Source organism: Homo sapiens, chromosome 19 (genome assembly GCF_000001405.40).
Source record: "Homo sapiens chromosome 19, GRCh38.p14 Primary Assembly".
In the NCBI taxonomy this organism is placed as follows: domain Eukaryota; kingdom Metazoa; phylum Chordata; class Mammalia; order Primates; family Hominidae; genus Homo; species Homo sapiens.
The window spans coordinates 34,993,388-35,019,093 of NC_000019.10; the positions used below are offsets into that span (position 1 = coordinate 34,993,388).

The following is a 25,706-nucleotide window of genomic DNA, read 5'->3' on the forward strand; positions in this document are numbered from 1 at the left end:
CAGGAGGCTGAGGCAGGAGGATTGCTTGAGTCCAGGAGTTGGAGGCTACAATGAGTATGACGGCAGCCTGGGATAGTGCAACCCTGTCTCTAATAAATAATAAAATTAAATAAAAAAATAAAAATGTAAGGGAATGATAACCATCAAACAAAGGGCAACGGAGACTTCTGAAAGGAAGACAAAAGTGGAATGGGGAGGGGCCCAAGGCAGTCACAGGGTACTCCCTGGTAATGTGCTGATTCTCAAACTGAGTTGGTGGATGGAGTTAGGGGGTCGTTTTATTGTTCTACACCCCATATCTTATAACATTTTACTGTTATACATTATAACCCACATCTACGGGTATATGTCAATTCTCATATAATAAAACTGGCACAGTGGCTCATGCCTGCAATCCCACCACTTTTGGAGGCCGAGGTGGGAGGATCACTTGAGGTCAGGAGTTTGGGACCAGCCTGGCCAACATGGTGAAACCCCGTTTCTACTAAAAAAATTAGCCAGGCATGGTGATGCATGCCTGTAATCCCAGCTACTTGGGAGGCTGAAGCCAAAGAATTGCTTGAACCTGGGCAGTAGAGGTTGCAGTGAACTGAGATCGTGACATTGCACTCCAGCCGGGCAACAGAGCGAGAGTCCATCCCAGAAAAAAACAAAACAAAACAAAAAACCAAAAAAAAAACTGGAAAAGTAAGAGAAAAGTTCCCAGACCTCAGCCTTGGGGAATACTACCAGCTTTCACGGACCAGGGAGAGGGGCAGGAGTTGTGCACGAAACGAGATGGAGCTGCATGAGGTGGGAGAAGAGGAAACCGTGACATCGCAGCGGCCAAGGGAGCCTTCCAGGAGGAAGAAGCGTCTCCCAGGGTCAGGGCTTCTAAGAGCAGTTGGGGAAGACGAGGACTGGAATTTGGATTTGGCCACCTGGGGGTGTTTTCTGAACTTGGAGGAGCATTCTTGTGCCCCTACGATGCTTGCAGCAGCTAAGGACTCCAGACCTGCAGAGTCTGTCCTGAGACAGGTCAGACCTCGGCGGTGGGACGGGAAAGGGGAACTCTCTGTCTAGAGACTTGCGCTCCGATGTAGTTGGAGGTGCTACACTGTGGCTGGCCACAGACCAACACGAGCAATGGACCACGAGAGGCCTGGGGTAGTTAGCCTTTCCTTCCTGTGCAGCCAAGAACGGAAGGATGAGAGGGGTTCTTTCTGCCTCCTCCTTGGCATGAGCACCTCCACCTCCATGCCCACTCTGTCCTTTCTCCCAGGAGCAGCTGGCCGGAGAGTAACACGACTCCAGCCGGACATGGTCATGACTATTTCAGCCTGCAAGGTCATGACTCTCTGGCCCACCTAGGACTCCTAGGGGAAAGGAAGTGCCTGGTCTACCGCCCTTCCCCTGCAAGTCTGAATGCTGTGTGGACAGAGGAGGAGGACCCAATAAGGTAGGGGTATTGGAGTACTCGGGTGCCTGGGAAGATCCAAGCCCGGCCTATAGGGTCAAGGTCTTTTCCAAAACAGGGGAAACCCTTTCTGGTTCCCGAAGGTCCTCCCTTCCCTATTCGCTGAACAGGTGGGTGCCAAGAAGCCCCTGTCTTGAGGACAGAGAGACTGCGGTCTGGCCTCCCCAGACCCAGGCAGCCTCTAACATCACAGCCACAGAGCAGAAACTGGCCTGGCTTCCTCCCAGGCCCAGAAGGCCCCAGCTGGCCACCTCCCTTTGTTTGTCTTGGGAGGGGCAACTGCTAAGCAAACAGGGAAGGGGAATCCCGATTCGGCCTCTCTGTCTGTCCGGCTAGCCGTTACCCAGGCCCGGGCTCTGGTGCCCACTGAGGCCTGGCTCCTTCCTGACCCTTTGTGTGGAAGGGACACAGGGCAGGAGTGGGTACAGAGAACACCCAGGGCTTTCCGAAAAAAATAGCCCAGGCCTCCCACAGATGAGAGAGGAGCTATGTGGTTCGGTAAACCTCAGTTCCAGCTACAGGCAAATGGGATTAACTGAGCACTTACTGTGTTGGGGCCCTGGCCTAGCCCCATGCATGCCAGAGCCCTCCAGATACTGCCTGGCCACCCTGCAGGGTCCTATCAGATCTCGAGTCTCCAAAAGAGGAAACAGGCTTGGGGTCATAAGGGAATGAGGTTAGCAGGGGTGGTAATCCCACCCAGATCTCTCTGACTCTCAGATCACGGGTTTTTTTTTTTTTTTTTTTTTTTTTTCTGAGACAGGGTCTCGCTCTGTTGCCCAGGCTGGAGTGCAATGGCACAATCATAGCTCACTGCAGCCTCAAATTCCGGGATTCTCATGTGATCCTACCGCCTCAGCCTCCCGAGTAGCCAGGGCTATAGGGACGTGCCACCATGCCTAGCTAATTTTTAACTTTTTGTAGAGATAAGGTCTTGCTATGCTGCCCAGACTGGTCTCAAACTCCTGGCTTCAAGTGATCCTTCTGCCTCAGCCTCCCAGAGAGCTGGGATTACAAGCATGAGCCACTGCGCCTGGTCCCCAACTGTGCTCTTAATCATAGCTCATTTCTCTTAGTGGAGCCACGGGGGAAGGTGGTAAGGGGGCTTAAGCGGGAGCTCTATCCCTCATCTCTTTTTTCTCTTTCCCAGAGACCACACCGCTGTTCCAGACCCTCTCCATGGATGATGTCCTGCCCCTGATGCCTTGGGAGACCCTGTTGGCACAGGGCAGTCCCCAGGGCTCGCCTGACCTCCCAGCAGGGCAGCGGAAGCAGCAGCCACAGGGTGACAGGGCCCAGGGCCTGGCCTCTGAGTCCTGGAAGCTCCTGGAGGTGCCCATCATTCACATAACGCCATCCAGTGATGGGGAGTCCCCCGCCTGCACCCCAACCCCCCGACGCCGGCAGCAGCAGAGGATGCCAGACCCGCAGAGTCTGTCCCAGGACAGGTCAGACCTGGGCAGTGGGACAGGAAAGAGGGTCTCTCTGTCTAGGGAGGGTTCTCTCTGTCAAGGGTGGGTTCCTTGTGGCTGCGGGTCAGAGCACAACCTTAGCCCCACAGAGGGCTGACTCAAAGCCACGAAACAGATGCACAAACAAAAGGTAAAAACTGAGGGTGTGCGTTGGGACAACCAGCTATGACTGAGCTCAGCTGAGTTCTGCCTAGTAAGAGTGGAGGGGAAGCCGGGCGTGGTGGCTCACGCCTGTAATCCCAGCACTTTGGGAGGCCGAAGCTGGTGGATCACCTGAGGTCGACAGTTCAAGACCAGCCTGGCCAACATGGTAAAACCCCATCTTGACTAAAAACACAAAATTAGCCAGCGATGGTGATGGATGCCTGTAATCCAAGCTATTCAGGAGGCTGGGGCAGGCGGTTTGCTTGAACCTGGTAGGCGGAGGTTGCAGTGAGCCGAGATTGCGCCACTGCTCCAGCCTGGGCGTCAGAGCAAGACTCTGTCTCAAAAAAAAAAAAAAAAAAGAGTGGATGGGTGGAGAGGGACCCCACCCAGTGTTTTTCAAACTGTAGGTCAAGACCCATTTAAGGGCCATAAAACTAATACAGTGAATTGCAATCAGCCCTTGTTTTTTGTTTTTTGTCTTTTTCTTTTTGAGACAGCATCTCTCTGTCACCCAGGCTGAAGTGCAGTGGCATGATCTTGGCTCACTGCAACTTCCATTGCTCCCCCCTCCACCCAGCAGCTGGGACCACAGATGTGCACCACCACACCTGTCTATTTTTTTTGTATTTTTAGTAGAGACGAGGTCTGACCATGTTGCCCAGGCTGGTCTTGAACTCCTGAGCTCAGGTGATGCACCCTCCTCGGCCTCCCAAAGTGCTGGGATTGTGAGATGAGGCACCCGGCCGCAATCAGCACTTCTTTATCCAAATCAAAATAAAATAGAATTGCAAATAACACCATGCGTGAGGCCTAATGAGGGTAAGTGTGGTTTCTTACAACTTCTGTGGCATTATGTGTATTTCTAAGTGCGTGCTGGAAGCCCATGTGAAAGGTATTTCCTGCTGTAGATCACAGGCCAAAAAAACAAAAAAAAAAAAAAAAGAAGAAGAAGAAAAACAAAGAAAAAAAGAAAGTTTAAACAAAACTTCTGAAAAGAAACACTATCTCTGGTACAAGGAGACAGGAAATGGGAGGTTCAGGGCCATAGGGGGAAGAGGAAAGAACTCTACCGACCCTGAATAGAACAAGCAGCCACTGTGGTTTCTTCCAACAAGGGACACTCCATAAGCGTTAAAGTTTAGGAAGCAGAGCTTTGTGCATGGATGTGGAGAAATCGCAGAAACAATGATAATGGGGGACAGCAAGTTGCAAATGAAACAGAGGGAGCCTAATCGTGTATCTTTTTAAAAAGATACTGGATAATAGGTGATAGTGTTGGTGGATGCCTCCTGATGTAGAAAAAGGACAGAAAAGTACACAGGGTCCAGGCGTGCTGGCTCATGCCTGTAATCCCAGCACTTTGGGAGGCCGAGGCGGGCAGATTAACCTGAGATCAGGAGTTCAAGACCATCCTGACCAACACAGTGAAACCCCATCTCTACTAAAAATACAAAAATTAGCCAGGCATGGTGGCGCATGCCTGTAATCCCAGCTATTCAGGAAGTTGGGGCAAGAGAATCGCTTGAACCGAGGAGGTGGAGGCTGCAGTGAGCCAAGATCGAGCCACTGCACCACTCCAGCCTGAGCGACAGAGCAAGACCTTGTCTCAAAAAAAAAAAAAAAAAAAAGCGCAGGAAGGAAACACACCAACTGCATGGCAGGCAGAAGGCTCCTTGGGGGGCACGGGAAGGGAAAGGAGGGATGGGGAGCCAGGCCTTTGGTTGTAAGTGTAATCATTTATTTCTTTTAAAAAAAGGACCTGAAGCAAAATGGCAAAATGTCCACATCTATTCTATATAGGTACAGGGGACATAGAGGACTGTTATATTTTCTTCCTTTTTTTTTTTTTTTTTTTTTTTGAGATGGAGTCTTGCTCTGTTGTCCAGGCTGGAGCGCAGTGGTGCGATCCTGGCTCACTGCAACTTCCACCTCCCGGGTTCAAGCAATTCTCCTGCCTCAGCTTCCTGGGTAGCTGGGATTACAGGTGCAAGCCACTACACCTGGCTAATTTTTTTGTATTTTTGATAGAGATGGGGTTTCACTCTGTTGGCCAGGCTGGTCTCGAACTCCTGATAGGTGATCCACCCTCCTTGGCCTCCCAAAGTGCTGGGATTACAGGCGTGACCCAACGCGCCTGACCTGAAATAAATATTATTTAATTAAAAAACTAAAAGCATTACACTAGAAGAAACAGACCAAAGAGAAATCTAAAGAGATCAGTTGGACAGAGGAAGGTGGTGGGAGGAGGGCCTCTCTTCCATTGGCCGGTGGGAGGCAGCAAATGTCAGATGGTGGATGGGGGTTTTAGAGGTGGGGGTTAGCATGAGAGGTAGGGCACGGCGATAGGGGGGGTGCTGTCCATGCAGAGGGAATAACCAGTGCAAAGGTCTTGGGGTAGGAGGCAGGAAGGTGCCTGGTGAGTTAGAAGAACAGCGGGTAGGCTGGATGGGGGGTGTGAGCCAGGGGGAGATGAGGAGCTGAAGTCAGAGAGCTGACAGGGGCCTTGGGTGCCAAGGTGAGGACTTTGCTTTTACCTGGAGTGAGGTACAGCTGGGGCAGGGCTCTGAGCCAGGAGGGTAGTTAACTGACTCAGGTGGTCCCAGGCTCTCTCTGGCTGCAGGTGAGAACAGACAGTAGGGGCAGGGATGGGAGCAGGGAGATCAGGCAGGAGAGGATGGAGGCTGGGCCAGGGCGTGGGCAGCGGAGGAAGAAGAGTTTAGAATGGAGCGATTGATTTTATACGTGGAGCCCACAGTTTGTGACGGATTGGATGTGGTGTGAAGGAAAAGAGAGGGTCAGAAAAGACTCTGAAGTTCTGGGCCTGCCATTCATCAAAATGGAGAAGTCAGGTGGGCTTCTTTTGCAGGAGGAGGGGAAGGGTTGATGGAGAGGGTTGGGAAGGGAGTTTTTTCAAAAGAGGCGGGGACAGCGTACCCTGGAGAGCGCTGGGGAGCCACAGCCCCGGAGCTGTGAGGTGGGACTCGCATTTCTGTGTGGTTGGGCCAGGAGTCCAGGACACCACCTGACTCTGACCTCTTGCAGACGGGGCGGGGGAGGGGGGACGCAGGTTATGGCGTCAGAGCAGGATCGAATCCAACTCTGCCGCCTACCTACCAGGTGACCCCAACAAGTCACTTCCCATCTTAGAGGCCGGGCTTCTCCTTCCGTAAAAGGACTGATTTTGCCCGTTCCTGCGCTGTCCCCGGGAAAAGCCCTTACCACCGAGTTAGTGGGACTCCCAGCACTGGGGTGATGAGCGCAAGGTCTCAGCACAGATAAGAGCCAGGGAGGCTGGATTCTGACTTGGTACTTGGCCTGGCTGACCAAAACTGGGAAGTCCCTAGAAACGGAGGCACCGGACCTCCTGGGACCAGGAACCCGGGCTCAGAGACTGGGAGAGGGAAGGAGGAGGCGGCCAACCGGCCCCACCCCTTCCCGCCAGCTTCAGGCCCCCTCCCCCATACATACACCTCGGTTTCCCAGCATCTCCAGTCCTCCCCCACCTTCGCCCCGGCTCTCAGGTTCCTCCCTGGGAGGTCCAGGAGCTTCTGGCCAGGGGCATAGTAGTTGCTAGGGACCCTTTTCTAGGTACTAGGGGAGGGGGCTCCCCAACCTGCGGGCAGGCAGCTGCCTCCACGATGTTTGGTTTTAATAAAGTCTCTTTGTTTCCTTCTCTGTCTCTCTGCCCCTCTGCTTTCCCTTCTCTGTCCAGTCCCTCTCTCCCCGGCTTCTCCCTCCTTCTAGGCCTCTGCGGCCCCTCCCCGCCTTCCCTCCCGGGCTGGGGGCGGCGCCGTGACGCGGCGGGGCGGGGGAAGGAAGGGGGTGTCGCTGACGCCGCGGCGGCCTCCGGCGGCTCCGGCCTTTTGTGCGGGCGGTTGGGTCGGGTGGGGGCGGCGGCCGCGGAAGGCCAGGCCGGTGCCCTGCGGGGACGCCCAGCGCAGCCCAGCCCCGCGCAGCCCAGCCCTGCCCTGCCCTGCCCTGCCCTGCGCCCGGGGCGCGCCCACCGCGCCGCATCCATGTTCGAGTAAGGACCGGGCGACTAGAGCTCAGGGACCGGGCGCGCGGGGGAGGCCACCGGAGGGAGGGGGCGCCGCGGGCTTGGGGAGGGGGCGGAGCGGCCGCTGCAGAGGTCGGGGGCCTCTGCACATGGCTCTGGCCGGGGCGATCGGGGTGGGGGCGGGGCAGGGGGCCCCCGGGCGAGGGGTGCAGCTGGGGAGTGGGGCGCGGACGCAGGGCAGGGCCCGGGGTCTGGGTCGCCACTGCCGGCCCGCGACGCACTGGGTTGCGGGGTTTGGCTGGGGGCCCGCGGGTTCATCTGGCGGGGAGGGCCCTCAGGCCTGGCAACCCCCTGCCTGGTAAGCCAGGGGTGAGCGCGAGGCCGAACTGGGGCTCCGGCCTGGGATGGAGACAGGATCGGGACCAGCCCAGGCCCACAGGCCGCGGAGCCCTGGGCGCGCCGGGAGTAGGCAGCCCCCTCCTGCCTGGGCCCCCTCCCACCGTCCTTGGCTGTTGCGGGTCTCGGGGCTGCCGGGGGTGGGGGCTTCCTGCGTCTCTCCAGGACCGCGTGCTTGAGGTCATGGAGGGCGGGGGGTCCTGTGTGCTCGGAATTGACTTCTTACTCCCCTTCCGGTCCAGGTGGGCGCATGTGCTTCCGACTGTGAATTGTCTTGCAAGTGTGTGTACGTGTGTCTGGGGCTGCTAGCCTGCAGCAGCTTTGGGCCTCTGATAGAGTTCCTGCGTGTAACTTAACCACTAATTCTGACCGCGGCTCTGTGTGTCACTGTAAGTTACCTGTGTGTGTCTGGGGCTCCAAATCTGTGGCTGTGAGCAGCTGGTTGTGTGCGTGTTGTGTCTCATTCCATCTGTAGCTCCCTGTGCAAATATAAATTACCCCTGTGTGTCTGAGTGTGACGTTGGAGTGTTTGTACATGTGTCTGGAGTTACCGTGTGTAGCAGCTCTGATCCTTCTTGGGCTGTGTGTGTTTTACCATTAATTCTATCTGTAGCTCCAAGCGTTGCTGTAAGTTACCAGTGTGCGTCCCATTGTGACTTAGTGGTGTGTGTACAAGTGTGCCTGGGGCTCTGGGTTCTACCATGACCCTCTGTGCCTGCATATGCCTGTAATTTAGCTCTGAAACGCTCTTCTTTTTTTTTTTTTCTTTTGAAATAGAGTCTGGCTCTGTCGCCCAGGCTAGAGTGCAGTGGCACGATCTCGGCCCACTGCAACCTCCTCCTGCTGGGTTCAAGCAATTCTCCTGCCTCAGCCTCCTGAGTAGCTGGGATTACAGGCGTGTGCCACCACGCCTGGCTAAGTTTTGTATTTTTAGTAGAGATGGGGTTTCACCATGTTGGCCAGGCTGATCTCGAACTCCTGACCTCAGGTGATCCACCCACCTCGGCCTCCCAAAGTGCTGGGATTACAGGCTTAAGCCATCGCGCCTGGCTTGAAACTCTCATTTAGCTCTGTGTGCCAATGTAAGTTACATTTGTGACATTGTTGTGTGTCTGGGGCTCTGTGAGTGTGGCTGTAACTTAATTTGATTCCATCTTTGTGTGAACATTCCCTTGTGTATTCCTTTGTGACAGTATTGAGTGGTGCCTAGGCCTCTCTGTGTACAGCTGAGACCCTCTGTGGTTTTGTGTGTGTGTGAACAGTGTGAGACCCCTTGTGGCTCTCTGTAGGCTTGGAACCCTCCCTTCTAAGACCCTGGGAGTACCCAGGGCACTTTGGAGGCAATAATGATAACTGACGTTGTCCACCTGTTACAGTTAGTATAGCATGTGCCACGCATTATTCCACTACCTGGCCACTGTGTCCTCGAGATCCACGCCCTGCTCGGCTGCATTATTCCCAAGTCCTGCTTGACTGTGAGCATCAGGGCTCTCCACCAGCTACAGCCACTGACACCTCCACCCCTTGCCACTTTACTTTTTCTTTTCCTTTTTCTCTTTCTTTTAGACGCAGTCTCGCTCTGTCGCCCAGGCTGGACTGCAGTGGCACGATCTCGGCTCACTGCAACCTCTGCCTCCTGGGTTCAAGCGATTCTTCTGCCTCAGCCTCCCTAGTAGCTGGGATTACAGGTGCGTGCCACCACACCTGGCTAATTTTTGTATTTTTAGTAGAGATGGGGTTTCACCATGTTGGCCAGGCTGGTCTCAAACTCCTAACCTCAGGTGATCCACCCGCCTCGGCCTCCCAAAGTGCTGGGATTACAGGCATCAGCCACTGCGCCCAGCCCCTTGCCACTTTAGAAGTAGCCTTTTCTCTGTCTTCCCTGCCAGATGGTGAGCCCAGTGCGGGCACGGGAACAACTCAGTGGGGATGTGTTGGCTGACCGTGGGACCTGATTTACCTGGGACTATGTATGTGTCACCTGGGGTCTTTTGGGACTGGTCTTTCACTGTATGGCTGTCTTTGGCTCTTTGCTGAGACTTCCTCGTGGCTATGTGTGTGAATATAATTTATCCGGGACTTTCTGTGGGTTGCTGTATGTTTCTGTGACCCTCTGCAGCTCTGTGTCTGTGTGCACACATGCATGTGTCTGGATAACTTTTCTGGGAAATTGCCATGTGACTGTAGCAGACTAGCAATGCTGCAGGTGTGTGTGTGTGTGTGTGTGTGTGTGTGTGTAATTACTCTGTGGCTCTCTGTAGCATACCTATGATGCTGTTGCTCTGTGCGTGTGTGTGTGTGTGTGTGTGTGTGTGTGTGTGTGCATATGAGAGAGAGAGAGAGGAAAGAGACTCCTTGCAATTGTAGGGAAATGCAGTTTACCCCTGACACCTACTGTGTGACAATCATTGAGTTTCCCTTTTATGCACACCTGTGGATGCATCCGCCCTTTTCTGACCAGAGGCTGCTCTGGGTCCACTGGGGCCTAGGAAGTTGGAGGTCAGGTGTCTGCGGAAGCAAAACAACATCCCTTCCGAGTCTCCTCGCCCCTATAACAGTCCCCCAGGCTCCTCCCTTCACTCTGCCTTCAGCTATCCTGGTTGGGCAGCCGCAGGGTCCGCCCTTGAGTACTTCCTCTTTGCCCAGCCCTGGAGCAAAAACTGGGGGCGTGGTCCCTGCCCTGTCTGTGTGCCTTGAGCCTCTCTTCAGGATTCCGGCCCCCAGGCCCTGCCCCTAGATCTGTGGCTGCGGGAAAGTAGGGCAGGTCTGTGTTTCAGGCTAGAGGGCTGAGAAAAGCAGGCAGGGGAGGATGTGGTCCTGCTGCTTAGGAGTCTCTCCCTGCTCACCAGTGCTGTCTGGGTGAAGCCAAACTCCTGACTAGGGTCACCAGGCCTGTGCACCTCCGCTACTCCCTCAGCCCCACTGGCCACCTCACTCACACTCAGACCTGCCAGGCTCAGTCCTGTCCCTGAGCTTGATGTTCTCCACCTGGAGTCTTCTCCCAGCCTTTGCCACATGTGTTCTTTGTCCTCAGGTGAACAAGTGGGCTTTGTTCAGGAAGGCTTTTGCTGACTGTTACTAAAGAAATTGGTTGGGCACAGTGGCTCATGCCTGTAATCCCAGCACTTTGGGAGGCCAAGGTGGGAGGATCACTTGAGGTCAGGAGTTTGAGACCAGCCTGGGCAACATAGCAAGACCCCATCACTACAAAAAAACTTTAAAAATCAGCTAGGCATGGTGGTGTGAGACTGTAGTCCCAGCTATCAGGGAAGCTAAGGCTGGAGGATCGCTTGAGCCCAAGAGTTCGGGCCTGGAGTGACCTGGGAGGCTGAGGATTGAGAATTCCTTGAGCCCAGGAGTTCGGAGCTGCCGTTAACCATGATTTTGCCACTGTACTGCAGCCTGGGTGACAGAGTGTGACCGTGTCTCTAAAAAAAATTTAAAAAGCATCTCTGCCCCCCTAGTTGTCCCATCCCTTATCTCTGTGGTCCTCAAACTTGAATGTGCGTCGGAATCTCTGGCCCCACCCCAGTTCTGATTCAGAAGGTTGGGAGTGGGTCCTGGACTCTGCCTTTTGAACACTTTCCAAGTCCTGCCTGCTGCTCTCTGGGGCTCATACTGAGCAGCATTGCTTTATGGCGTTCACCAGTGTCTGAGGTCGCCATCCCTGCTCACTTGTTTTCTTACTGACGGTCTATGTTTCCCTGTTTCAGCGTCAGGTCCTTGCAGGCAGGGGCTTGTATGGGCTTTGCTCACTTCCTTGTGGCGGGTGCAGGGTATTTAGAGGTGAAAGGCTGGAGTTGAGGGTCAGTCATGGAGGCGCCTAACATCAGGCGTAGTGCTTGTGAGGTCCCTGTCAGGGTCAGCAGAGCGTCATGGGCAGTGGTGCACTGGGCTGGCAGCCGCGCTGTACACTCCATCTTAGTCCGCCAGTCCCTGTGGGAGGGAAAGCAGCGTAGTTAAACCAGGTGCCCTCCAGGTACTGGGCTTTGTGGATCTCACCTCACCTCCATCTCTGTGCAACCCTAGGAGGTGGGCACTAATTCCCATCATACCCAAGAGGAAACTGAGGCACAGGAGGGTTCAGACACTAGCTCAGGGTCACACAGAAAGGACGCGGTGGCACTTGACTGGAAGGTCCTTGGACTGTGGGGCCCACACTCCAGGCTGCTGCCCTGGAGACCTGCAGGGTCCAAGGAGTCGTGCACCTGCTGGAACCCAAGTTCTATGGGGGGCGGGGAAGGAGGGCCGATCACCCAGGCCATCCCCAACAGTATGTGCTCACGGAGCACCTCCTGTACGCCAGGCCCTGCTCTAGGTGATGGGGACACTCAACATCGTGGGTGGGGGTTGGGGGTGGGGAGAGAAGGATAAGAACTAGGGGGAAATACTGAAGGTCCCGGGAGGCAGCAGGGAGACTTGCTTTGCAGAAAGAGAGCAGGGAGGGGGATCGGGAGGCGGGGTAGGGGGTGTTAAATAGGGAGGTAGGGAAGGTGTCCACTGAGCAGAGACCTGAGGGAGGTGGGGGAGCCCTGTGGATGTGGATGTGGATGTCTGGGAGGAAGGGCATTTTGAGCAGAGGCACCGACCAAGGCGGGAGCTGGGAGAGGGAGTGCAGGGCTGATGAGGGCAGAGAGGGACCACCCAGGAGGACCCTGATGGACTCAGATGATCCCAGGCTCCCTCCCACTACAGGTATGGGCAGGGATGGGAACAGGGAGACCAGGGAGGAGGCTGCTGGGATGGCCCAGGGGAAAAGCAGTGGCCTGGGCCACTGGCTGTTTAATTATTTTATTCACGTATTTTATTCCACAAATTTATTTTACAAGTGTTACATGAGTGCCTACCCTGCATCCTGTCCCGCATTGTGCTGGGGACAGAGCAGTGACCCACAGACCCGTGAAGGACTTGGACCTGTCATCAGACAGTGACGGCCCAGAGTAGTCCAGGATGGGAGCTGCCCAGGGGACTGTGGGGTCACGCATGAGCCAAAGTCCTGAAGGACAAATAAGGATTTGCTAGGCAAAGAAGAACTACGATCTGGACAGACAGAATGGCATATGTTAAGGCTTGGAGGTAAGAGAGACAACTTTGAGTTGCCCCAGGTGGTGGAGGGAATCCCACCTGCACCCCAGAATACATCAAGGCCCCTAAATGGGAATCCTGCCTTGAAATAAACCAAGCCCATGGCCAGGTGCAGTGGCTCACAGCTGTAATCTCCTAGCACTTTGGGATGCTGAGGCAGGTGGATTGCCTGAGCTCAGGAGTTCGAGACCAGCAACGTGGTGGAACCCTGTCTCTACTAAAATACAAAAAATTAGCTGGGCATGGTGGTGGGTGCCTGTAATCCCAGCTACTGCGGAGGCTGAGGCAGGAGAATCACTTGAACCTGGGAGGCGCAGGTTGCACTGAGCTGAGATAGTGCCACTGCACTCCAGCCTGGGTGACAGCGCGACTCTTTGTCTCCAAAAAATAAAGAAAAAAGAAAGAAACCAGGCCCGTATCCTATGGCAAGTGGTTTGCCGCTTTGAGCTAGTTTCCTCCTCTGTAAAGCAGGGATGGTGAATCATATCAAAGGCACCGGCTTGAGAAATAATACGGTTAATCATACGGAGAGCTTGACATATTTCCTGATAAGGAGTCAACAAAGAATGTCCTTTTAAAGTTCCCAACGCCATCCCCACAGTCCTTATTACAGTTCGTGTTTGCACAGTGAAGTTGGGAGTGTCCTGTTTGTTCAGTGTCTGCCTCCCCACCAGAAGGCTCATTCCCCAAGGGCAGGGGCCATGTCCTGCGGGCTCTACTGATGCCAGCTCCAGCCAGCGTGCAGATTATTCATTTAGCCTCTGGTGGTTATTGAGCATTCACTATGTGCCTAGAGTTTTGGGCTCTAGGGACCCGGTGGTAACCAAGACCTGAAGGTCACAGTCTGGGTAGACAGTAAACAAACAGTAAACAAGCAGGACACTCCAGATAGCCTGGGGTGTGGCGACAGAGGTGCCTGCCTTAGGCTGGATGATGCGGAAGGAGAGCATTTGAGCTGAAGGGGACAGAGCTGGTGATGCCGGGGCCATGGAAGGACATTCAGGCGGAGGGACTACAAATGTGGAGGCCTTGGCGTGGGAATGAGATTGGAGAGCTTAGGGACAAAAGCAGGCTGGGATGGCCAGGGGAGAGGAAGGACAGGGAGAGGGAGGACATGAGGTCAGTGAGGTTCCAGGGCCAAATCACCACACCAAGGTGAGGTCTTTGCTTTTACCTGGAGTGAGGTGCACCCAGGGCAGGGCTCAGACCTGACTCAGATGGTCACAGGTCTCCTCTGGTTGTAGGACACCAGTGAAGAGGCTGCTGGGGTGTCCAGGCTGGAGGTGATGGAGGCTGGAGCAGGGAGAAATGGGTATAATAAAAATAACGGATGCTGGGTGCGGTGGCTCACGCCTGTAATCCCAGAATTTTGGGAGGCCGAGGTGGGCGGATAACCTGAGGTCAGGAAGGAGTTCAAGACCAGCCTGGCCAACATGGTGAAACCCTGTCTCTACAAAAAATGCAAAAATTAGCGGGGCATGATGGCGGGTGCCTATGATCCCAGCTACTGGGGAGGCTGGGGCGGAAGAATCGCTTGAACCTGGGAGGTGGAGGTTGCAGTGAGTCGAGATCATGCCATTGCACTGCAGCCTGGGCGACAGAGAGAGACCCCATCTCAAAAAAATAAAAATAATAGAAATAGAGCTGGGTGCAGTGGCTCACACCTGTAATACCAGCACTTTGGTAGTGCCCAAGGTGGGAGGATCACTTGAGGTCAGGAGTTTGAGAACAGCCTGGGCAACATAGCTAGACCCCATCTGTACAAAAATTTTTTAAAAATAAAAAAGCTGATAACAGTGGTGTGTACCTGCAGTCCCAGCTACCCGGGAGGCTGAGGCAGGAGGATCACTTAAGCCCGGGAGCTCGAGGCTGCAGTGAGCCGTGATTGTGCCACTGCACTCCAGCCTGAGTGACAGAGCGAGACCCTATCTCTAAAAAGAAAATAAAAATAAATAATGGAAATAGATTTTGAAATGAGAGATGAAGAAAATAAAGAAATTAAGAAAGATGCTTAGGGTTTTAGCTCCGACAACTGAGTGGAAAGTCGCTGTTCAATAAATATTTGTTGTATGAATCAGTAAGTTAATTTTAAAAATAGGAGGTATAGGCCAGGCGCGGTGGCTCACACCTGTAATCCCAGCATTTTGGGAGGCTGAGGTGGGCAGATCACTTGAGGTCAGGAGTTCAAGACCAGCCTGGCCAACATAGTGAACCCCCGTCTCTACTAAAAATACAAAAATTAGCCAGGCATGGTAGTGTGATCCTGTAATCCCAGCTACTCAGGAGGTTGAAGCAGGAGAATCTCTTGAACCCAGGAGGCGAAGGTTACAGTGAGCTGAGATCACACCACTGCACTCCAGCCTAGGTGACAGAGTGAGAGATTCCGTCTTAAAATAAAATAAAATAAAACAGCAGGTGTCTTTGAGAGCTCGCTATGTGCCATGCTCTGTTAGAATTACTTTACATGGGCTGGGCACGGTGGTTCATGCCTGTAATCCCAGCATTTTGGGAGGCTGAGGCCAGAGGATCACTTGAGGCCAGGATTTTGAGACCAGCTTGGGCAACTTAGGAAGACCCCGTCTCAAAAAAAATTAAAGTAGGCTGGGCACGGTGGCTCCCACCTGTAATCCCAGCACTTGGGAGGCCAAGGTGGGCAGATCATGAGGTCAAGAGTTTGAGACCAGCCCAGCCAACATGGTTAAACCCCATCTACTAAAAATATAAAAGCTAGCCATGTGTGGTGGCAGGAACCTGTAGTCCCAGCTACTTGGGAGGCTAAGGCAGGAGAATCAGTTGAACCCAGGAGGCAGAGTTTGCAGTGAGCCGAGATCATGCCACTGACTCCAGCCTGGGCAACAGAGCAAGACTCTGTCACAAAAAATAAATAAATAAAATAAAGTAAGATAAAGGAAGTGCTTTACATGTCCTGATTTGTTTAAGCCCCAAAACAACTGGATGAGGACATGTATTTATCATCCCTGGATTACTGATGAAGTAACCGTAGCACAGAGACGTTAAGGAGCATGTTCTGAGTGTCACTGCTGGGAAGAGAAACAGGATGGCTGGGTGGATGGGTGTGTATTCGGGGATCAATGGGTGGGCCTCTGAAAATAGGCCTGTCCCCGAATCCCAGCCTGTTTTTTCCAGTTAACACTTCTCTTCCTCTTCCTGCCCCCAGCACCACACCCCACTCTGGCCGGAGCACGCCAAGCAGCTCCCCATCGCTCCGGAAACGGCTGCAGCTCCTGCCCCCAAGCCGGCCCCCACCTGAGCCAGAACCAGGCACCATGGTGGAGAAGGGATCAGATAGCTCCTCAGAGAAGGGTGGGGTGCCTGGGACCCCCAGCACCCAGAGCCTAGGCAGCCGGAACTTCATCCGCAACAGCAAGGTTGGTGCAAGCCCAGGTGGGGTGGGGAGAGGGCTAGTGGGGGCTGGCCGGTGATCTAGGGGCTCATCCTGACTCCTCTCCTTTTCTTTGCAGAAGATGCAGAGCTGGTACAGTGTAAGTGTCTGGGCAAGGGGCTTGCTGGAGGGCTGGGAGGACCGGGTGCTGGGCCAGGAGCCCCAGGCTGCAACAGTCAAGGAGTGCGTGCTGAGATGGAGTGGGTGCAGACCTAGGGTCACGTTCTATGCTATTATTTATGTGCTGTGTGACCTTGGGTGAGTTACTTAACCTCTCTGGGCCTCTCTCTGTCCTTGAGAAACAGCCCCACCTTACAAGGCTGAAGGGAACATTGAATGAGTCAGTGATGCTGGTGGGTGCTTGGTACGGGGCCCGGCTTACATAAGAAATCTGTAAATGGCAGCTGTCATTGTGGCTACTGGTGTGTTGTGTGCGTTGGAATCTGTCAGGGACTTAAGAGACTGAGGGGGTTCCAGGAGCTTTGTGGGGCAGCATTGGGAGTGTGAACCCCCATCCAGGTTCTCACCTCTCAAACTTCCTCAGATGCTGAGCCCCACTTATAAGCAGCGTAATGAGGACTTCCGGAAACTGTTCAGCAAACTCCCCGAAGCAGAACGCCTCATTGTGGGTGAGTCCCGGACCCCCAGTCCCAGCTCCTAGCCCAGCCCTGTGACTCTCCGCCAGCCCGCGGGCGCCGGCTGAGCCTCGTGACTTGGGTGTCCTCCTGTCTCTCCCCGCCCCTCTCAGATTACTCCTGCGCCCTGCAGCGTGAGATCCTGCTCCAGGGCCGCCTCTACCTCTCTGAGAACTGGATCTGCTTCTACAGCAACATCTTCCGCTGGGAGACCACGGTGAGCCCGCAGCGGGGCAGGGTACAGGGGCGGGGGCCCCCATGGCCAGGCCCCACCCCGCTCCTATTGACCCTCCTGCTGTCCTCAGATCTCCATCCAGCTGAAGGAAGTGACATGTCTGAAGAAGGAAAAGACGGCCAAGCTGATCCCCAACGCCATCCAGATCTGCACGGAGAGCGAGAAGGTGACGGAGGACCCGGTGACGGGACCACGCGGTCCCCCGCTCAGCAGGCCGCCTCCCCCAAACATGCAAAGCCCCATTTGTTCTGCACCCTGAGTTCTCTCCGAGCTGTCCCCTTCTCTCTGTTCTCCCGGCCCAGGCGCCCATCACCCCTGACCTGATCCCCGCACCAGCCTCTCCTCTCTTTCCCTGCAACCTGTTACCTCACACAGCTGCTCAGGAACAGCAGAAATAGTAAAACTCTTCCATGTATGTGGCACCTCAGCCGCCCCTCCCTTCGTAAGTCTCCCCGATGTTGTGTCCTGTCCCTGTCATTGTGGCCTCATGTCCGTTGGTTGCAAGATGGCTTTCTCACCAGCGGTCCAACAAGAAGGGGGACAGGTGTGGGGGACACTTCCCAGCAGACTTCTCTTTGTGTTTTGTTGGTTAAAAGTGGATCTGGCCAGGTGTAGTGGCTCATGCCTGTAACCCTAGCATTTTGGGGAGGCTGAGGCAGGAAGATTGCTTGAGCCCAGGAGGTTGAGGCTAGCCTGGGCAACATAGTGAGACCCTGTCTCTTAAAAAGCAAAAAATTAACCAGGTGTGGTGGCACGCACCTGTAGTCCCAGCTACTCACTCAGGAGGCTGAGACAGGAGGATGGCTTGAGCCCAGGAGGTTGAGGCTGCAGTGAGCCGTGATCATGCCACTGCACTCCAGCCTGGGTGACAAAGCCAGACCCTGTCTCAAAAAAAAAAAAAAAAAAAGGATCAACTGACCATTCTTAGTGGCAAAGGAGGCTGGGCAAGTTCCCTGGGCTCCCCCCATCACATCCCAGCCCCTCTGGGCTGACCCTGTCTAGAGATGCATCTGTCCCCTCCTTGGACTGGGAGCTCCAAGGACAGGGCCAGGGGTCGTCTCCCCATCCCAGTGATTCTGGAATTGTCCAGGGCAGGGCCGGGCGCAGGACAGACGTTTTGTGGAACTAATGCAGGGGTGAATTAGTGGATTCATGGGGCCAAAGATGTGGCGTCAGCGCAGATGAGGGTGGCGCTTCCCCACCTCTGTCCTGGTCGCTCCCCAACCTGCTCACACCTCTCTCTCTCTCTCTCCCTGACAGCATTTCTTCACTTCCTTTGGGGCCCGTGACCGCTGCTTCCTCCTCATCTTCCGCCTCTGGCAGAATGCACTGCTTGAAAAGGTGGGCCTGGGTGAGGCCCGGGTGGGGATGGGGGGTTTCCAGGGGGACCATGGAGCCAGGGACCCCAGAACTTGCGGAGCTGGAGGCAGCCCTGGCTCTTCTCCATGGGCACCAGGCCCAGTGCCCCTGCAGCTCCTCCCTGGGCCCCACCTGACCCCGAAGCTGAGTCTCTGGCAAAGGGACATGAATTGGTGTAAACCGTCGTAATTCTTCCCTGGGGCTGGGAATGATTTTCACCCTGAAGGACATCCAGGTTCCACTGGCAGCGGGGGAGTGTGGATAGAGGCTGGGAGGTCATCACAGGATGCCGGCTATGGCTGGTCCACAGCACCTCAGAGAGCCCCAGCCCCATCCTCCGGCTGAGCGGCACTCACGCGCTGCCTTCTCAGAGGCTCCGATGTCCCTGGAGCAGGCAGGAGTGCTGAGGGTCCCATTCAGCATCCTGAGAGAGGGACAGCGCACAGTCAGGCCCTAAGGAGGACAGGGCAGAGCCCCGGGATTCCAGCCCCATCCCCTGGGGCAAGTGATTGAACCCCATCTGTCAAATGGGGGCCATCCCCACTTCACAGCACCCAGAATTTTGCCCAGAATAAGTACTCAGTCATGTCAGCTCTTATGAGCAGAGTAGCCCAGCGGTTAGCTCCCTCGCCACCCCCTCTGCCCCCCGGCTGTAGACCAGCTCCCCTGGGGTCACATCTCAGCACTGCTACTTCCTGGCTGGACCCCAGCATGTCACCTTGCACTTCTCAGCACCATTGTCTTAAAAGGATGATGAGGTTAGCACCTACTTTCCAGATGGTTTTGAAGATACAGTGAGTTAGTACATCTGTAAAGTGGTTAGAAGAATGCACCTAGTTGACCAGGTGGCAAATGTCTGCTGCTATCATCACTTACTGTTAACTGTCATCACTGTCATTCAGCCACTCTGGCCATGGGTGGCTGAAAGCTCAAGGCTCCCGAGGACACCTGGGAAAAGATTCGGGGGGCCACGATGGCATAGGCATGGGAGACTCAGCCCTGGAGTCTGGCAGGGCTTGACCAAGTCACTTGGTGACCTTGAACACATGACTTTCCCTACATGACTTCCCCTTCCTGGGACTCCGTATGCTCTGTAAAGATGGGAACATTCATGGCTGGGCACGGTGGCTCATGCCTGTAATCCCAGCACTTTGGTAGACGAAGACGGGCGGATCGTGGTGCCCACGAGGTCAGGAGTTCGAGACCAGCCTGGCCAACATGGTGAAACCCCGTCTCTACTAAAATTGCAAAAATTAGCTGGGCGTGGTAGCACGCACCTGTAATCCCAGCTCCTTGGGAAGCTGAGGTAGGAGAATCGCTTGAACCCAGGAGGGAGAGGTTGCAGTGAGCTGAGATCACACCACTGCACTCCAGCCTGAGCGACAGAGCCAGACTCCATCTCCAAAAAACAAACAAAAAAAGATATAAAAAAAATGGGAACATTCTCTGGCCAGAGTATTGTGGGGACTTGGGAAGCAGGAAGTTTGAGTCCTGGGCGCAGGCCCTGGAGGGGCTGTAGCAGGGGATTCCCCGCTTGCTGAGGCCAGGTCTGGTGCGGGAGATCGTGGCTGCCTCCTTGTGGAAGCCAGGGGAACTGCGGAGGCCGAGGGCTGGTGGGGAATCTGGCGGGCCGGGCTCTGGCTGGGGTGAGATGGAGGCCAACCCCAGGTCCCGCCTCCCCAGACGCTGAGTCCCCGCGAGCTCTGGCACCTGGTGCATCAGTGCTACGGCTCAGAGCTGGGCCTCACCAGTGAGGATGAGGACTATGTCTCCCCCTTGCAGCTGAACGGTCTGGGGTGAGTTGGAGGTCAAAGGAGGTTGAAGGGTTCGGGGGAGAACAGGACGGTCGGCGTGCAGAGTTCCTGGAGTGCTGGGGGGCCTGAGATGGTTGTATGACGTCTGGAGGATTCAGGAGGGTGTATGGGGTCTCAAGGACACAGCAGTCCCGCTTCCTCCCCTTTCCCACAGGACCCCCAAGGAAGTGGGAGATGTGATCGCCCTGAGCGACATCACCTCCTCGGGGGCAGCTGACCGCAGCCAGGAGCCAAGCCCAGTGGGTTCGCGCCGTGGCCATGTCACGCCCAACCTTTCCCGAGCCAGCAGCGACGCAGACCATGGGGTGAGCGGTGGGTTGGAAGAGGGGTGGGATACTGATAGGAAGAGAGAGGAGGGCTGGGGGTGCAGTGGGAGAAGAACAGCCTGACAGATTTGGAGGGGAATGGATAGGGGGACAGGGGAGGCCTGGATGGAGGAACAGGACAGGGAGGGGAAGACGGACATGTGACAGGGAAAGAGAGACAGGGAAGAGAGGGGACAGACAGAAAGGATGAGAGACAGAAGGGATGGGAGATGGGTGGATAGATGAAGCAGCAGACAGACAGACGGACAGGACAGGTAAGAAAGCTTATGGCTCAGGCATCTGAGACAAGCCTGGCAGGGGCTGAGAGGGGCCCTCATCTGGGTGGCCCCAGGCTGCTCGCAGCTCAGCCGTGAGCCCTCGGTGCACACACCACCCCGGGTCTGCACAGGCTCTGGAATCCTTGTGGCCAGTGTGGACTTGGGAGCCCTGGGGCTGGGATGGAGGTGGCCAAGGCTGCATCGGGCCTTTCTCCACAGGCAGAGGAGGACAAGGAGGAGCAGGTAGACAGCCAGCCAGACGCCTCCTCCAGCCAGACAGTGACCCCGGTGGCTGAACCCCCGAGCACAGAGCCCACCCAGCCTGACGGGCCCACCACCCTGGGCCCCTTGGATCTGCTGCCCAGTGAGGAGCTATTGACAGACACAAGTAACTCCTCTTCATCCACTGGGGAGGAAGGTGAGGCAGGCGGGCCCAATTCATTCGCCTCCGGTACTTGCAAGCCTCGCTCAGTCTTAAGCAAGAGGGGATGGATTCGCCCGCAGCACTGAGAATCCAGGGGCAGGCGGGATGGCGTTCAGGCGCTGTTGCTAGAAATCTCTGTCTTTACTCTGTTTTGAAGGCAGCATGGCAGGGTGAACACAAGCACAGACTGAAGGCAGCTTGCCGCGGTTCACATCCTGGTCACACCACTTCCTGACCATGTCACGTGGGCAAATTATGTAACTTCTCTGAGCTTGCTTTCCTCCTCTGAAAATGGGGTTAACAATGATAATACCCACTTCATAGGATTGTTGTTAAGAGACTATAAATGAGGCTGGGTGTGATGGCTCACACCTGTAATCCCAGCACTTTGGGAGGCCAAGGTAGGAAGGATTGCTAGAGGCCAAGAGTTGGAGAACAGCCTGGGCAGCAAAGCAAGACCCCGTTTTGTACAAAAAAGAAAAAAAAGAAAAAACTAGGTGTGGTGGTGCACACCTATAGTACCAGCTACTTGGCAGACCAAGGCAAGAGGATCACATGAGGCCAAGAGTTTGAGACAAGCCTGGGCAACATAGTGAGACCCCTGTCTTTACAAAAAATTTAAAAATTAGCCAGGCATGGGGTCATGCACCCTATGTAGTCTCAGCTACTGGGGAGGCTGAGGCAGGAGGATCGCTTGAGCCCAGGAGTTGGAGGCTGCAGTGAGCTATGATTGCACCACTGCACTTCGGCCTGAGCAACAGAGCGAGACCCTGTCTCTAAAACGAACAAAGGGAGAGAATTAAGTGATTTCATACATTTAAAGCACTTGGGCCAGTTAGTAAGCATTGACTATTAGTATTTCTATTATCATTATTGTATTCATTTTCTCTCTCCACTAATTTTCAGCTAGCCTCTATTCTTGTCTCTTATGGGGCAGAGATGGCCTCAGCCCTGCCCCAGACCAGCCCAATGAGAGAGAGCAGCCTATTTTTCCTAGTGTCTACAGCGGACACCCTAGGGTTGGCTCTGATTGGGCCAACTTGAGAGTGTGCCTGCCCCTGAACCAATCACTGTGGTTGATCGGATAGACCTGGGCCACCCACTCACCCCTGAACCAATTGCTGTGCCCCTAGGTTGATGCTCCCAGGAGGCGTGCTATCTGGTAATGAATCCCTGTGATTTAAATCTCAGGGCCTAGGTGTGTTCTCCACCCAGAACCAAGCACAGTGGCTGTCTGTCTGGGCCTGGAGCACGTGCCCACCCTCAACCCATCCCTGAGTCACAGGAGGGCTCTGTGTCAGTGTCCAGCTGTGCTCCAGGAGGTGGGGTCCGCCCATGCACACTACAAGGCCTGGGAGTGGGGAGGCGTGGCCCGCAGAGGGAGGGAGGAGTGGAGGCAGTCATCATCCTCGGCTCTCCTCTGTCTCCAGCGGACTTGGCTGCCCTGCTTCCCGACCTCTCCGGCCGCCTCCTCATCAACTCTGTCTTCCATGTGGGCGCTGAGCGGCTCCAGCAGATGCTCTTCTCGGACTCGCCCTTCCTCCAGGGCTTCCTACAGCAGTGCAAGTTCACAGGTCAGCGGGCGCATGAAGGAGAGGCTGAGGTTACCCAGGTGCAGGGGAGGGGTGAGGAAGGGTAGCCCAGGACAGGGGAAGGCACTGCTAGCCAGTGGGGCAAGGCGAGGTGGTGAAAAGCAATGTCTGTCAGACCAGAAGCAGCTCTGCCACTTACTAGCTGGGTAGGCTTGGGCAGAGTTCTGAGATGCTCTGTGCCTCAGTTTCTCCTTCTGTATAATGGGGGTATGATAATAGTACCTGGCTTATTGGTTATCATGAGAACTAAGTGAGTTCATACTAGAAAAGTTCCTAGAGCAATACCATATAGTAAGCGTTTAATAAATACAAGTTAAGAGGCTGAGGCGGGGCTGGTGCGGTGGTTCACACCTGTAATCCCAGCACTTTGGGAGGCCGAGGTGGGCAGATCACTAGAGGTCAGGAGTGTGAGACCAGCCAGGGCAACATGGTGAAACCTCATCTCTACTAAAAATACAAAAATCAGCTAGGTGTGGTGGCACACACCTATAGTCCCAGCTACTTGGGAGGCTGAAGTGGGAGAATTGCTTGAACCTCGGAGGCGGAGGTTGCAGTGAGCTGAGATCACACTGCACTCCAGCCTGGGTGACACAGCCAAACTCTGTCTCAAAAAAACAGGGGCGGGGGGTGGGGTGCTGGGCACAGTGGCTCACGCTTATAATCCCAGCGCTTTGGGAGGCCGAGGCAGGTGGATCACCTGAGGTCAGGAGTTTGAGACCAGCCTGGCCAACATGGTGAAACCCCATCTCCACTAAAAATACAAAAATATTTTAGCCAGGCATGGTGGCGAGCACCTGTAATCCCAGCTACTCAGGAGGCTAAGGCAGGAGAATCACTTGAACTCGGGAAGCAGAGGTTGCAGTGAGCCAAGATCGTGCCGTTGCGCTCCAGCCTGGGCGACAGAGCGAGACTCTGTCTCAAAAAAAAAAAAAAAAAAGGTGGGAGGAGGGCCAAGGTGGGAAGTTCATGTCAGCCCAGAAGTTGGAGACCAGCCTGGGCAACATAATGAGACTCAGTCTTTACAAAAATAAAAAAAAAAATTAGCTGAGCATGATGCTGCCCACCCGTAATCCCAGCTACTCTGGAGGCTCAGGTGAGAGAATTGCTTGAACCCAGGAGGTGGAGGTTGCAGTGAGCCAAGATCATGCCACTGCACCTCAGCCTGGGTGACAGAGAGAGACTCCATTAAAAAAAAAAATGCTCCTGAGGCCTCCCCAGAAGCCGAGCAGATGTCGGCATCATGCTTCCTATACAGCCTGTGGAACTGTGAACCCATTAAACCTCTTTTCTTTATAAGTTACTGAGCCTCAGGTATTTATAGTAATGTAAGAATGGCCTAATACAGAGCTCCTCAGCCTGACACGCCAGCCCTTTTAGGACATAAGCATAGTTTTGGGGGCCTTGTAGCCCCCCAACACAAGGCACCATCTTCCTGACTGCAGGGGATACTGCATGTCTCATCAATACAGAAAAAGAAACAAAGAGAAACTCCCATCTGACACGCTCCTCCCCTGCTTGAATCTCTTTTGTAGCCTCCCAAGTTCCTTGGCTGGTCCCATGTCAACCCTTCAGCCTCACCCAGAGCTGTGGCTGCCCCTCTCCATACCTGGCTGCCCCATCCCAGCCTCAGGGGACTTCTCTCAATATTGGCCTCCAGCCTCAGGGCCTTTACTGGTATCACGCGGCCTCCTGGGCTCCTCTGCCCCGACCCCTTCCTTCCTCAGTTCCTCCTTCAGGCCTTGGTTTTGATTTCACATCCTCCTGGCAGCCTTCCCTTACCTTCCTCAGATCCCAGATACCCCCAGATACTCACAGCTTCTGCCCTTAACTCACACCATGCCAGTAGTGTGTGGTTTTTATTTATAGATATTTCCTGTTGTTCTCAAGAGATTCTGGGTGCTAAGGACAGGAGTTCATCTATCCTGGTCTCCCACTGGCCTCCAAGCCCTGCATAGGCCTGACAGAGTGGACATTAAATTTGTGATCATTAACACATATTTATTTATTTATTTATTTATTTTTGAGTCAGGTTCTTGCTGTCGCCCCAGCTGGAATGCAGTGGCACAGTCTTGAGTCACTGTAGCCTCTGCCTTCTGGGTTTAAGCCATTCTCCTGCCTCAGCCTCCTGAGTAGCCGGGATTATAGGCGCCCACCGTCACGCCCAGCTAATTTTTGTATTTTTAGTAGAGACGGGGTTTCACCGTGTTGGCCAGGCTGGTTTCAAACTCTTGACCTCAGGTGATCCTCCTGCCTCGGCCTCCCAAATTTCCCGAAGTGCTGGGATTACAGGCGTGAGCCACTGTGCCCGGCTGCCTCAGGGAGCTTTTGATCATGCTGAAAGGCAAAGGGGGAGCAAGTGAGAGAGAGTGGAGGGGAGGTGCCACACACTTAAATGACCAGATCTCGGAAGAACTCACTATCATGAAGACAGCAGCAAACCATGAGGGATCCGCCCCCATGATCCAAACACCTCTCACCAGGCCCTACCTCCGGCATTGGGGATTACAATTCAACATGAGATTTGGGTGGGGACAAATATCCAAACTATACCAAACTCAGACTCTGTTCTAGGGGTACTGGGGAGCCATGGAGTGTTCTAGGCAGAGAAGGGATAGAGTCAGGCTTGGCTTTAACAAGATGCCCCTGGACCAGATGGGGAGACTGAGGCCAGACACTCAAGGGAAGGCTGGCAGGGGCACTGGGCAGGCAAAGATGGGCTGAACCAGGAGTGACGCTCAGGAGGTTTGGTGAACACACAGTGTAGGTAACCATCTAGGGGTTTGAGTAGGGGGTGTCCAGGGCAAGGCCTACCGCTCCAGTGGGAGCCTGGAGGACCCTGGGCCACCCCTGAGTGGGGGCCTGGGAGATGCAGCAGGTTTGGGGAGATGCTGAGGCTGTGTGGAGCTCGGTGGGTTCGAGGGGTCCAGGGACCTTCCAGGGGAAGGTGTTCAAAAGATTACAGGTCCAATGCTCAGGGCAGAAGCCAAGACGGGTGCAGAGGGGGAAACTGAGGCTGCAGCAGTGGAGGAGATGGCCCTGCCCCAACAGCTAAGGTTTTAGGCTCCTGGAAGGAAGGTGGGGACACAGAGGAGTGGTGGGGATTGGGAC

At 54.8% G+C, this 25,706-nt stretch overlaps 1 protein-coding gene across 13 annotated transcripts in view, besides 6 other annotated features; it reads left to right on the top strand.

Annotated features, from left to right (window-relative positions):
* Positions 1-1,339: 1,339 nt before the first annotated feature.
* Positions 1,340-25,706, top strand: part of GRAMD1A (GRAM domain containing 1A) — a 31,743-nt gene continuing 7,376 nt past the window's right edge. For 3 of the 13 annotated variants that reach the window (XM_017027034.3, NM_020895.5, NM_001320034.2), the window contains exons 1-11: positions 6,936-7,099; positions 15,732-15,942; positions 16,036-16,056; positions 16,501-16,585; positions 16,705-16,808; positions 16,897-16,992; positions 18,087-18,167; positions 19,869-19,981; positions 20,154-20,304; positions 20,802-21,000; positions 22,437-22,580. In XM_017027034.3, coding sequence (XP_016882523.1) covers positions 7,092-7,099; positions 15,732-15,942; positions 16,036-16,056; positions 16,501-16,585; positions 16,705-16,808; positions 16,897-16,992; positions 18,087-18,167; positions 19,869-19,981; positions 20,154-20,304; positions 20,802-21,000; positions 22,437-22,580 — 1,213 coding nt within the window. In that variant the 5' untranslated portion in view covers positions 6,936-7,091. Of the gene's footprint in view, positions 1,439-2,606; positions 2,905-6,935; positions 7,100-7,746; positions 7,858-11,944; positions 12,164-12,297; positions 12,545-15,731; positions 15,943-16,035; positions 16,057-16,500; positions 16,586-16,704; positions 16,809-16,896; positions 16,993-18,086; positions 18,168-19,868; positions 19,982-20,153; positions 20,305-20,801; positions 21,001-22,436; positions 22,581-25,706 lie in introns of those variants that run through there. The other 10 variants (XM_011527153.2, NM_001320036.2, XM_047439133.1 and 7 more) reach the window with 10 other exon arrangements.
* Positions 4,321-4,996: an enhancer, noted in NCBI's record as "H3K27ac hESC enhancer chr19:35488612-35489287 (GRCh37/hg19 assembly coordinates)". NCBI's record gives its function as "activates a minimal SCP1, AML or CMV promoter by ChIP-STARR-seq in naive H9 embryonic stem cells {active_cell/tissue: H9 hESC(naive)}" and the evidence as "EXISTENCE:reporter gene assay evidence [ECO:0000049][PMID:30033119]".
* Positions 6,771-7,150: a silencer, noted in NCBI's record as "silent region_10512". NCBI's record gives its function as "represses an Ori minimal core promoter by ATAC-STARR-seq in GM12878 lymphoblastoid cells {active_cell/tissue: GM12878}" and the evidence as "EXISTENCE:reporter gene assay evidence [ECO:0000049][PMID:35858748]".
* Positions 7,421-7,550: a silencer, noted in NCBI's record as "silent region_10513". NCBI's record gives its function as "represses an Ori minimal core promoter by ATAC-STARR-seq in GM12878 lymphoblastoid cells {active_cell/tissue: GM12878}" and the evidence as "EXISTENCE:reporter gene assay evidence [ECO:0000049][PMID:35858748]".
* Positions 10,844-11,389: an enhancer, noted in NCBI's record as "H3K4me1 hESC enhancer chr19:35495135-35495680 (GRCh37/hg19 assembly coordinates)". NCBI's record gives its function as "activates a minimal SCP1, AML or CMV promoter by ChIP-STARR-seq in naive H9 embryonic stem cells {active_cell/tissue: H9 hESC(naive)}" and the evidence as "EXISTENCE:reporter gene assay evidence [ECO:0000049][PMID:30033119]".
* Positions 11,390-11,934: an enhancer, noted in NCBI's record as "H3K4me1 hESC enhancer chr19:35495681-35496225 (GRCh37/hg19 assembly coordinates)". NCBI's record gives its function as "activates a minimal SCP1, AML or CMV promoter by ChIP-STARR-seq in primed H9 embryonic stem cells {active_cell/tissue: H9 hESC(primed)}" and the evidence as "EXISTENCE:reporter gene assay evidence [ECO:0000049][PMID:30033119]".
* Positions 19,489-19,568: an enhancer, noted in NCBI's record as "active region_14453". NCBI's record gives its function as "activates an Ori minimal core promoter by ATAC-STARR-seq in GM12878 lymphoblastoid cells {active_cell/tissue: GM12878}" and the evidence as "EXISTENCE:reporter gene assay evidence [ECO:0000049][PMID:35858748]".